Consider the following 12,618-nt stretch of genomic DNA (forward strand, 5'->3'; position numbering starts at 1 on the left):
TTACTTTGATTGGAGTGTAGAACATACACATATGTGTTCCTGTGTGTGTATGAGAGAGAGTTATTGCTGGTGATAAAGCTACAGAAATAGATTGGGGTTAATGCATAGAAAGCTTTGATTGCCACACAAATTAGGTGTATGCCAGGGGCCCCCCAGGTTTTCAGAGAATGATGAGTTGTGATCAGAATTGCACTTTAGAAAGTTACTTGCCAGGTGCGGTGCCTCACACCTGTAATCCCAGCACTTTGGGAGGCTGAAGTGAGTGGATCATCTGAGGTCAGGAGTTCAAGACTAGTGTGGCCAACGTGGCAAAACCCTGTCTCTACTAAAAATATAAAAATTAGCTGGGTGTGGTGGCACGCACCTGTAGTCCCAGCTACTTGGGAGCTGAGGCAGGAGAATCACTTGAACCTGGGAGGCGGAGGTTGCAGTGAGCCGATATCTCACCCTGTACTCCAGCTGGGGCGACATAGCAGATGTGCTGGCTAGAGTGGATTGGGAAGATAACAGAAACCATTGCAATAGCCCCGATAAGAGGTAATAGGGACTAGAGACAGTGAAGATGGACAAGAGGGAAATGGTGGGTCAAGGTATGAGCCTTGACCCATGATTGGGTGGGAGGAGGACGGGAAAGGACAGATTCAGAAATGTCTCAGATGTCAACTACAGTTGACCAGATGTGTAGTAGTGGTTTTGATTTTTTTAAATAATGGTTTTTAATAGAAGTGGGTTTTAAAAGAAATGGAAAAGCCACAAGAAGGAGCTGTTTATGCAGTGATGCAGTTTTGAACACGAAAAGTTTTTTTTTGTTTTATTTATTTATTTTTTTGAGGTCCTTGATGGGTGTATGTTCAGCTGGAGATGATATTCCTGGGAAAATTTGGGGTTGTCAGTAAGGAATTTGGTAGTTGAAGCTTGGAAAAAGAGGAGAAAAGAGCCATTGACAGTCTTGGGGAATGGCTATGGTAGATGATGAGAGGAACAAGAAAAGCAGAGGACCAGAAATCAGAGATAAGAACCCCTTTGGGGCAACGCTGGAGCTGAGGGAGAAAACTTTTAAGGAAAACATGGTCTCATACCTTTGAGAGTTAATTTTTTATTATTATTTTTATTTTCATTTATTTATTTTTTCTGAGGCGGAGTCTTGCTCTATCACCCAGGCTGGAGCACAGTGGGGCCATCTCGGCTCACTGCAACCTTCACCTCCTGGGTTCACGCCATTCTCCTGCCTCAGCCTCCCGAGTAGCTGGGATTACAGGTGCCTGCCACCACACCTGGCTAATTTTTTATATTTTTAGTAGAGACGGGGTTTCACCATGTTAGCCAGGCTGGTCTCGAACTCCTGACCTTGTGATCCACCCACCTCGGCCTCCCAAAGTGCTGGGAGTACAGGCGTGAGCCACCATGCCCGGCCTATTATTGTTTTTTATATATACAAATATAAATATAAATATATATAAATATATAAATATAAAAATATATATAAATATATTTATAAATATAAATATAAAAATATATAAAATATATTTATAAATATAAATATAAAAATATATAAAATATATTTATAAATATAAATATAAAAATATATAAAATATATTTATAAATATAAATATAAAAATATATAAAATATATTTATAAATATAAATATAAAAATATATAAAATATATTTATAAATATAAATATAAAAATATATAAATATATTTAAAAATATAAATATATAAATAAAATAAAATAAAAATAAAAATATATAAATATATATAAATATATAAAAATATATTTATAAATATATATATAAATATATAAAAATATATTTATAAATATATATATAAATATATAAAAGTATATTTATAAATATATATATAAATATATATAAATATATATATAAATATATAAATATATAGAAATATATAGAAATATATATAAATATATTTATATAGAAATATATTTCTATATATAAATATATTTATATAGAAATATATTTCTATATAAATATATAAATATTTCTATATAAATATATTTCTATATAAATATATATAAATAGAAATATATAAATATATTTCTATGTATACATAGAAATATATAAATATATTTCTATGTATACATAGAAATATAAATATATAAATATATAATATAAATATAATATATTATTATTTATAAATATATATAAATATAAATATATAAATATATAATATAATAATATATAATATATAAAATAAATAAATTATATTTATAATTTAAATATAATTTTAATTTAATTTAATTATTAAATATAATAATTATAATATAATTATATTTTATAATATATTTTATAATATATAATATATTTTATATGTTATATATTTTTCTATATTTTATATAATATATAAAATATATATTTTAATAATATATATTTTAATAATATATTTTATATAATATATTTTATAGTATAAAATATATAATTAAATAATAATTTAAATATAATTATAATATAATATAATTTAAATGTAATTTAAATATAATTTAAAATAATATTTATAAATAATATATTTAAATATATATATACATATATGTGTGTGTCTATATATATATATATATATATATATATATATATGATTGTAAAGTAATCAGGTTGGTTCTTCCTTTCCATGTCCCATAAACTTCATATTTCTTCTCTAAAGATAAATTATGAAAAGCTTGGAATATTGACATCATCTTTGGAATAAATGTATTTTTTACTTATTTTAAAAAATTTATTTATTTATTTTGAGACAGGGTCTCACTCTGTCACTCAGGCTGGAGTGCAGTGGCACGATCATAGCTCACCATACCCATGACCTCCATGCTGAAGTGATCCTCCCACCTCAGCCTCCTGAGTAGCTGGGACTACGGGTGTATGCCACCACACCTGGCTAATTTTTTTTTTTTTTTTTTTTTTTTGTAGAGACAGGGTCTCACTTTGCTGCTTAGGCTGGTCTCAAACTCCTGGGCTCAAGCAGTCCATCCACCTACAAGTGTTAGGATTACAGGTATGAGCCACCACATCCAGCCTGTATCTTTCATTTTTAAGAAGATTACTTTGTAGAATGGTATTCGTTTAGATAAATGTGCTTGAGTCATTGCTATAATTAGTAAATATTGGCCTTGAGGGCCCCCAGTGTAGTACAGACAAAGCTTATTTATATACCTAATTTTTAACAAATAGCATATTATTAAGTAAAAGAAAAATGATCCAAGTAAATTTTGAAGCAAAATCTGAAGAAAAATTAACAACATAATTAGATATCATTTTAATAGTATGTCAGTGGAAACAACACACAAACTGTTTTTTTCTCTGCTCTCACACCACAATAACAATCAACACAGAAGATTTCTGGTGACCAAATGTGTGGAGGTTTCTCCCCACACACCAAGTAAGCAATCAGTTCTGCAGTGGACACCAGCTGGGTATCCTCCAGTTCAATTCCAACACTATCTACCTGGAGACAGTGTCAGATCCCACAGAGTGTCAGATCGCACAGTTTGAGGGCTCAGTCCCACAAGACGGTCCTCCTCCTTCCTACCAGTTGCAAATCTGGGCCTCTGGAACTTCTGATGGACCAGCTTCAAGTTGGGTTCTCCGTGACCCCGTCTTTGGGTTCAATTACTTTGCTAGAGTGGCTCACAGAACTTAGGGTGACATGTTTACTGATTTATTACAGAATATATTTTAAAGGATACAAATAGACAGATGAAGAGAGACACAGGGCGAGGAACTTCTATCCTCATGGAGTTGGGGTGCACTGCCCTCCTGGTACATGAATGAGTTCTCATTAACCTTCCTTTAAGCCTCTACATGTTCAGCTCTCTGGGAGCTCCTCAAACCCTGTCCTCTTCCGTCTCTTATGGAGACTTTATTGGATAGTCATGATTAAAGTACAGACAACCATGTAGAAATGTGATTAGACAAAAAAGGGTATGATCTAATATTAATAGACTGAGTGGGAAAATCCAGCAAGGATTGTCTGTTCAGATTCTTCTTGGTCTCTCTGTGTAGCTTTCCTTCCTCCAGGGTATGGGGGAGGACCCCTTCTGAAATGAAGGTCTTGTGGCCTTCAATTAGACAAGGAAGGTCAGAGAATTTCTTTATGGCCAGCTCCAAGATAGAAAGGTTGGGGGAGATGAGATTATATTTTTAGTTTCTACGGCCTGCCTTGGGGAGAAAAAGGAGCAGGCGAAAAAAGGGCAGAAGGTCAGAGAGAGAGAGAGAGATTTGTTTTCTTTTTTCATTGATTTATTTGTTTGTTTGTTTGTTTGTTTGTTTGAGATGGAATCCCGCTCTGTCGCCCAGGCTGGAGTGCAATGGCATGATCTTGGCTCACTGCAACCTCTGCCTCCTGGGTTCAAGCGATTCTCCTACCTCAGCCTCCCAAGTAGCTGGGGTTACAGGTGTATGCCACCATACCCGGCTAATTTTTGTATTTTTTAGTAGAGACCGAGTTTCGCCGTGTTGGCCAGGCTGGTCTCAAACTCCTGACCTCAAGTGATCTGCCCACCTCGGCCTCCCAAAGTGCTGGGATTACAGGTGTGAGCCACTGCACCTGGCTGAGATTCTGTTTTCTGAGACCTGCTTCTGAGGCCTAAAGCACCCCAACATTATAACAAGGGCTATGGCGTTATGAGCCAGGGACCATGGATGAAAACCTATATATATTTATCTATGTATATCTCTGTCTCATAATATCACATGTTGCAGACAGACTTTTGTCAAACTTATCAATAAAATCGAACTATAGAACACAGATTTAAAAAAAACCCTTGGGAAGCTGGGTGCAGTGGCTCATGACTATAATCCCAGAACTTTGGAAAGCTGAGGCAGGAGGATTGCTTGAAGCCAGGAGTTTGAAAACAGCCTGGAAAATATAGTGAGACTTTATCTCTACAAAAAATTTAAAAATTAGCTGGACATGGTGGTGGGCACCTGTGGTCCCAGCTACTCAGGAGGAGGAGGTTTCAGTGAGCTGAGATAGTGCCACTGTATTGCAGCCTGGGTGACAGAGCAAGACTTTGTCTCAAAAATAAATAAATAGGCTGGGTGCGGTGGCTCATGCCTGTAATCCCAGCACTTTGGGAGGCCGAGGTGGGCGGATCACGAGGTCAGGAGATGGAGACCATCCTGGCTAACACGGTGAAACCCCTTCTCTACCAAAAATACAAAAAAAGAAATTAGCTGGGCGTGGTGGCGGGCGGCTGTAGTCCCAGCTACTCGGGAGGCTGAGGCAGGAGAATGGTGTGAACCCGGGAGGCAGAGCTTGCAGTGAGCGGAGATTATGCCACTGCCCTCCAGCCTGGGCGACAGAGCGAGACTCCGTCTCAAAAAAAAAAAAAAAATTTTAAATTTAAAAAATAGAAGCCACTCCTAGGCCAGGTGCAGTGGCTCATGCCTGTAATACTAGCACTTTTGGAGATTGAGGCAAATGGATCACTTGAACCCAGGAGTTTGAGACCAGCCTTTGCAACATAGTAAGACAAGAAATTTAAAAAGTTAGAGAGGTATGGTGGCACACGCCTGTAGTCCAAGTTCCTTCTGTAGCTGAGACAGGAGATGGCCTGAACTCAGGAGATGGAGGCTGGAGTGAGCTATGATTGTGCCACTGCACTCCAGCCTGGGAAACAGAGTGAGACCCTGTATCCAAAGAAAAAGAAAGAAAGAAACAGAGAGGGAGCGAGAGAGAGAGAGAGAGAGAGGGAGCGAGAGAGAGAGAGAGAGAGAGAGAGAGAGAGAGAGAGAGAGAGAGAGAGAGAGAGAGAGAGAGAGAGAGAGAGAGGAGGGAGGAGGGAGGGACAGAGGGAGGGAAAGGGAGAAAGGGAGAAAGACCTCTTATGGCTTACATAAACTACAATAGAAACAGATGTTTGCTGGTTGTCTAGTCACAGTAATGTTTTCTTGTTAAAACAACTGTTTTATATTTTATATATATTATATATATTTATAGCCATAAATAAGGTCATTGCAGGTCAGTAGGTTTTCTCGAATCTTTAAGCCCTCCTCCGCACACCACCCCTCTCCCCAAAAAGGGAACCACTTCTGTCTGCTTCCCTTTCCTTACCTTGATTTTTTTTCTCCTTCCTTCTCCTGCATTCCCTGTAATCTCACTGGGCATCTTCCTGGCAATCTGTGCACCTTCTACCGGGGAGCTCTGTCTCTCTGGCTCCAGTTGTAACTTGACTGGCTCCCCACCTGAGTTGAGAGTACGTAGGCCTTTATCTCTGCACCCATCCTGTGCACGTTCATAGAAGTCATCAGCTCTGTTAACTTGATTTGCAATTGGATTGTTAAATACAACTGATTGTCATGTTGATTTGGTGTTACTTGGTTTTTCAGGCTGAACTAACCAGGAACACTAAGTGATTGTTTTGAGCTTTTTCTTAAGCAAAGATTTACTTGCTTTTCAGCAGCTGAAGTAGATAGCAATAGGCTAATAGTGGGGAAACAGACTTCCAGAAACACATTTTCTACTTGCTTTTAAACTTGTATTCATGAATAGTCCTTTCTTAGAACAAACCGTATAGTTTAAGACTGTATTATCTGTTTTGATTGCAATTTTAGTATATTCTGTGTTAACTGATGGTAGACTGAAAACTGTATTGAGAGAGATGGAAAGGGGTTTTCTTTATAGGAAGGTGCTAGGTGCACATAGGTAGCTGAGTAAATGTAGTTGAATTCAACGTTAGACATTTTTTCCACCATTTTTCCCCCTTGGTTTGGTTTTGGTGCTCTTCTTTTGTTTGTACAGTTTGTCCCTTGGTATCCTTGGGGGATTGGTTCCAGGACTCCCTGCAGATACCAAAATCGTAGGATGCTCAAGACTCTTATATAAAATGGCATAATATTTGCATATAACCTATGTATATCTTTCTTTATACTTTAAATTATCTCTAGATTACTTATAATACCTAATGCAATATAAATGCTGTGTAAATAGTTGTTAAGTTACATTGTTTAAGGAATAATGACAGGAAGAAAAGTTTGCCCATGTTAAGTATAGATGCAGTTTTTTTTTTTTTTTTTTTGAGACGGAGTCTTGCTCTGTTGCCCAGGCTGGAGTGCAGTGGCGCAATCTCGGCTTACTGCAAGCTCCGCCTCCTGGGTTTATGCCATTCTCCTGCCTCAGCCTCCTCAGTAGCTGGGATTACAGGCGCCCGCCACCACGCCCGGCTAATTTTTTTTGTATTTTTTTAGCAGAGACGGGGTGTCACCATGTTAGGCAGGATGGTCTTGGTCTCCTGACCTCGTGATCCGCCTGCCTCGGCCTCCCAAAGTGCTGGGATTACAGGCGTGAGCCACTGTGCCTGGCCCAGATGCAGTTTTTAAGGGGAATGTTTTCAGTCCACACTTGCTTGAACACACAGATGCAGAACCGAGGGATACGGAGGGCCAACTGTATTTCTCTCTTTTTTTTTTTTAATGAGAGCTATTCGTATGTGGATTCTATACTCTCTAATAATAATAAACCTTATTAATGTGGCACCTGAAACAGACATTGTTACTTTTAAATTATGGTATAAATTTGCAGAAGTCATAATGGAAATAGGAATAGGGCATCTTATTTGAAGTAGAAGCAATAATTATTTCTCTTCTACTGGTGCTAACAATTTTTTTAAAAAATTATTTAGAATTTCAGTGGTTTTGCTGAAAGATGCTAAATCTCCAGTGTTACTTAGAAATACAGTACATACAATTCTAAGAAAAAAGGTTATTATTTAAACATGTATATTAAAAAGAAGCTTTTTTAATATCTCATATAGACACATATAAATTTTATAAAATTCTAAAGGGTATTTACAAAAATGAAAAGTAAGTTTCCCTTAACCCTTGGCCCATATTAGTCCCCTGTCCTGGAGGTAACCATTATTTCTAGCTTCTTCTGTTCCTTTGAGAGATCAAAATGAAGCTTAAAATTAATACCCTTATTGTTTAGTAAATGTTTTCCTCTTAAATATAGCAAAATCTAGTGATATTTTTTGCAACCTCTGTTATAGCTTTACTTTGCAGTTATGGTTGCAGGGTGAATTACATGTCAGCACTGGAAATGTCTTGAAATGAACTCATTGTCTGTGCATTTTTATCCTGTTGTTTTTAGAAATACAGCTTTAAAAAAATTTATTGTACCTTTTTGAAATAAAAGAATTTACAACTCTGGTGTAGATCTAAATGAAAAAAATTTTGATGAACAACATGGATAGTTTAAATCTTTAGTATTTTCTCAATGATAGATTTTCAACTAAAATCTTTTTTTAGTTTTTTTATCTTTTGCCTCACAATTGGTTTGGATATCTTACGAATCATACCATGTTTTCTGTTCCCATACAGACATTTAGCCTAAAAAAATTTTACTTGCTAGTTACAAAGGTAATTCAGCCAGGCCATTGGTAAGTTGAAAATATAAAGGAAGCAAATTATGAGACAGGGTTTTTATTTGTGGAACACAATATACAAATGTAGTTAATTCTTTTGTGAACTTGGCATGTATAGTATTCCCTTCCTAATCTTTTGTGTTGTGTTTCTGCTAACCTCTATGGTAAAAGGTTCTATTGAGGAACAAAAACAATCAATTTTTAAAATGGGGTTGGGGATCAGAGTCTTGAGTGAGCCTATTAAAGTGCTGGGATTACAGGCATGAGCCACTGCACCCAGCCTAAAGTCTTTGTAAATATTTTTTATGTAGATATCACCAAAATAAAATAGTAAGGGCAGCTCTCTAAATAAAGAGAAAATTACACATTTAGATATCTTAAAATAGGATAATGAATGTTGGATTATTTCTAGTTTCTATTCCTTACTTGCTAGAAACTTTTCAGTGAGATAACTTGGACATTTTTATGTTTTTTTTTTTTTTTGGGAAATACATGTACTTTTATCGAAAATAACACGTAAACTCTGAGGTGCTTTTTTTTTTTTTTTTTTTTTGGTATTTGACCTTCCATCTTAATAGTACATTTCTGATCTTAGGACTCAGAGTTCTTAACCTCTCTGATCTCCATTTTGTATTTCCTTTGGGGTCTCATCACAGTCCCAGAGGTACATAGTAACAAAGCTAGAGACAGAAGAGGCTTTAGGCGACCTTCTCCCAGGTACTCAGCATGCCATCACTCAATAGGTATTTCTCATTCCTTCCCACCGTGAGGGTTATAGAACCTTAGTCCCATCAGTGGTGATTATTAGCACATTAGCACTCTCACTCGCTTCCTTAGTCCCTCTTAGGCATGTCCTTGTTCCCCTCCCACAACACAAGCCTAAGGTAGATCCTTGCCTCAGCTTCCTTTTTCTTCCCCAAGACTGCGTTTCATGAAACTATTTTTCCTGCTCTACTTTCTGCTTCATTTCCTTCTTCTCATCCTACCTTCGTGTTCCTTTTCTTTAAACTCAAAATCTGTGTCTACTGGAAACTGCAGTTTTCAGCAGTTGAGGGAGAGATATTTAAATGGAAATCTGTGTGTATACTTGAATTTCATATAAGGAGATCTTGCGGTTAAGGAGAGATTTCTGCAATATTAGAAACACTAATTTTTTTGATCTTAAGACTCTTCTGTTTTCTGTACCTTTTGCTTCTTTAGGAATAATTAGCTTTACAACATTTGATTTGAAGGAGGAGAATGGTGTTATGTGGGCATGGTGTATCAGCCAGAAGTGACGCTAGTTAGGATGAAAGTTGTTCTGGTCATATGGACAGTGTTGGAAGGTATTACATTCCACTCTACAGACAGCTCTGGAAGGATGGGGCATGTCAGCCTTGGCAGGCAGCACATCTCCATCAATTCTTTCAGTTCCTAGGGTGATGGATACTCAGCTAGCTGGCTGTTTTCCTGAAATTTAGCCTTCTAACTGAACCTTGTAGCTTGATGAGCAACTGACTCCAGTCTCAGTGATCGTCTTCAGTGATGATTTGAGAAACACTGTTAGGTAATAGGACAGCAGACAATTAGTAGATCAGACTACATTGGAATTCTGAGGTCCTTTACCTGGGTGACTTTGGGAAGCTTCCTTTGCTTTTTATTTTTTATATTTTTATTTATGTATTTATTTATTTTTGAGACAGAGTCTTGCTCTGTTGCCCAGGCTGGAGTGTGGTGGTGCGATCTCAGCTCACTGCAAGCTCCACCTCCCAAGTTCACACCATTCTCCTGCCTTAGCCTCCTGAGTAGCTGGGACTACAGGTGCCCGCCACCACGCCTGGCAAATTTTTTTGTATTTTCAGTAGAGACAGGGTTTCACCATGTTAGCCAGGATGGTCTTGATCTCCTGACCTTGTGATCTGCCTGCCTCAGCCTTCCAGAGTGCTGGGATTACAGGCATGAGCCACTGCACGCGGCCTGCTTTTTATATTTTAAGATTATAATAGAGCTCACAACCTTTATATGTGACAGCAGAAATTCTTTCTTATTTTCTACCAAACAATGATGTTGAAGAAAACTAATGTATAAAACATTATATGAATTTGAAGGTTTCAGGCTACTGAACACTTTTTGTTAGGCACCCTGGGAAGAAAAAAACATGCAGCCTTGTCCCTTAAGTTGAGGATTGTGTGATGTAGTCAAGAAGATAATACATGAAATGACCACAATGACGCAATATATAAACAAGTTCTAGAGTGTGTAGAAGATGACCACTCTAAGCCGTGCCATCCAGTGTTAGCCAGTAGCCACGTTTGGCTGTTGACTGCTTGAAAATTCATGAGCCTGAGTTGATATGTACTTTAAGTATAAAATATGCATTGGATTTCAAAGACTTAGTACCAAAACAAGAGTAACATATCTCGTTATTTATTTATTTATTTTGAGATGGAGTTTCGCTCTTGTCACCCAGGCTGGAATGTAATGGCATGATCTTGGCTCACTGCAACCTCCGCCTCCTGGGTTCAAGTGATTCTCCTGCCTCATCCTCCTGAATAGCTGGTATTACAGGTGCCCGCTACCACGCCTGGATAATTTTTGTGTTTTTAGTAGAGAAAGGGTTTCACCATGTTGGCCAGGCTGGTGTCGAACTCCTGACCTCAGGTGATCCACCCGCCACAGCCTCCTGAAGTGCTGGGATTGCAGGCATTTTTAAAAATACCGATTACATGTTTAAATTACAATATTTTGGATATAGTATTTAAGTTAATATTACCTATTCCCTTTTACTTTTTTTAAAATGAGGCTTTAAAAATTCTAAATTTCATATGTGGTTTGTGGTATATTTCCATGGCAAATAGAGAAAAGGATATAGACAGTTGCAGACAAAGTTTCATGAAGGAGATAGTACTTCAGCTGTTTCTTGAGAGAATGGCGAATGTGAGGGTGATCTGGCTGTGATATCTGTCACCCCATTGATCACCAGGGTTGATTTCGCTGATCTGGCTGGCTAGGTGGTTGTCCCCTTCCTCCCTCACCACTCCATGTGCGTCCCTCCCAATGCTGTGTGCTCAGTCAAAGAGAACGACCATCCTCGATAGAGGAGGACCAGTCTTCGGTCAAGGGTATATGAGTAGCTGTGCTTACCTGCTAGAACCTCCAGACAAGCTCTCAAGGTCTTGAGAGAATGGGGCAGATCTTGTCCAGTATAATTGCAGAAAGGTGACAAATATGGTGGTAGCACTGTAAATTAAGAGCAAGAGCCTCAACTTGGAGTATTTGAGCAGAAAGGAAATACTGTGAGTGGAGTAGAAGGTTTGTTTTAAAGCATAGTGGAGAATTAGGATTTAAAGAGAGATGGGGCTACATTTTAGATGTCATTGAATGTTTTTGCACAGAATATATGGCTAATATATGTTTATTGACTGACAGTCTGTCTTAGAATTAGTTCAGAATTGACCCTGTAAAGAGGGTAAGTCATTTAAAGTTTTTAGGTAGATATATGGCAGAGATACGGTTTTAAAATTATTCTGATGATGTAGGTTTAATGACTAAAGGTGAGAGGCTGGAGATTGGGGGACTTGTTAGTGGGGTGCTATGAAGTCTGGGTAAGTTGGTGAGTGTGGGTCAGTAGTGGTAGCTATGGAAATTAAAACAGATATGTACCCTCCCCTTGTAGAGCTTAAAATCTTGTGAGTGATACAGATGAGCAAACTGGCAATTCAAATACAGTGAGATACAGAAGGCAGAATGCAGAGGAAGGGAACCTATTTAGCTTGGGGTGAGGACATGAGGAGTTAGCTCAGAGAATGCTTCCTAGAGGAGGAGACATTTGTCACTAACTTGAAAAGGATGTATGAAATTCCCCTGTGAGAATACTATGATGAAAGATTCAGAAAGTAAAACCTTTAGAGGAACATGAAAAGTGTTGAGAGAGAGAGGAGTTGGGGAGTAAGGAGAGTTACCTGTACTCCATTACTTGTGTGGTAATGGGAAATCACTTCTCTTTGCTGGGCTTCAGTTTCCTCATTTGTAAAATGTAGGGTGGCAGACATGCTCTTTGAGGTTTAGCCTTCTAACTGAACCTTGTAGCTTGATGTGTTTACCATGGTTATATCCTGAGGAGTAGTTGTTCTGCAGCAACTCTTTGACAGGACCTGAGAGGGGAGAATGGGACCTTGTACTGGGAGGTGAGGGGAGGAGCCCTTGTTTCCCCAGCCTCACACTCTCTGCTTGGTTAGCCTGAAGGTGACAGAGCGGCTCACGCAG

The 12,618-nt window shown here is 37.7% G+C and overlaps 1 protein-coding gene and 1 pseudogene across 2 annotated transcripts in view, besides 2 other annotated features; both read left to right on the forward strand.

Moving 5' to 3' along the window:
- SWAP70 (switching B cell complex subunit SWAP70) overlaps nucleotides 1-12,618 on the forward strand; it is an 88,917-nt gene that overhangs the window by 5,562 nt on the left and 70,737 nt on the right. The gene's annotated exons all lie outside the window — the stretch shown is intronic.
- Nucleotides 6,168-6,702: an enhancer, noted in NCBI's record as "OCT4-NANOG-H3K27ac hESC enhancer chr11:9697353-9697887 (GRCh37/hg19 assembly coordinates)". NCBI's record gives its function as "activates a minimal SCP1, AML or CMV promoter by ChIP-STARR-seq in naive H9 embryonic stem cells {active_cell/tissue: H9 hESC(naive)}" and the evidence as "EXISTENCE:reporter gene assay evidence [ECO:0000049][PMID:30033119]".
- Nucleotides 8,874-9,413: an enhancer, noted in NCBI's record as "NANOG hESC enhancer chr11:9700059-9700598 (GRCh37/hg19 assembly coordinates)". NCBI's record gives its function as "activates a minimal SCP1, AML or CMV promoter by ChIP-STARR-seq in primed H9 embryonic stem cells {active_cell/tissue: H9 hESC(primed)}" and the evidence as "EXISTENCE:reporter gene assay evidence [ECO:0000049][PMID:30033119]".
- Nucleotides 11,286-11,600, forward strand: RN7SKP50 (RN7SK pseudogene 50; annotated as a pseudogene).

The sequence above is a fragment of the Homo sapiens genome, chromosome 11 (genome assembly GCF_000001405.40).
Source record: "Homo sapiens chromosome 11, GRCh38.p14 Primary Assembly".
NCBI classification, from domain to species: domain Eukaryota; kingdom Metazoa; phylum Chordata; class Mammalia; order Primates; family Hominidae; genus Homo; species Homo sapiens.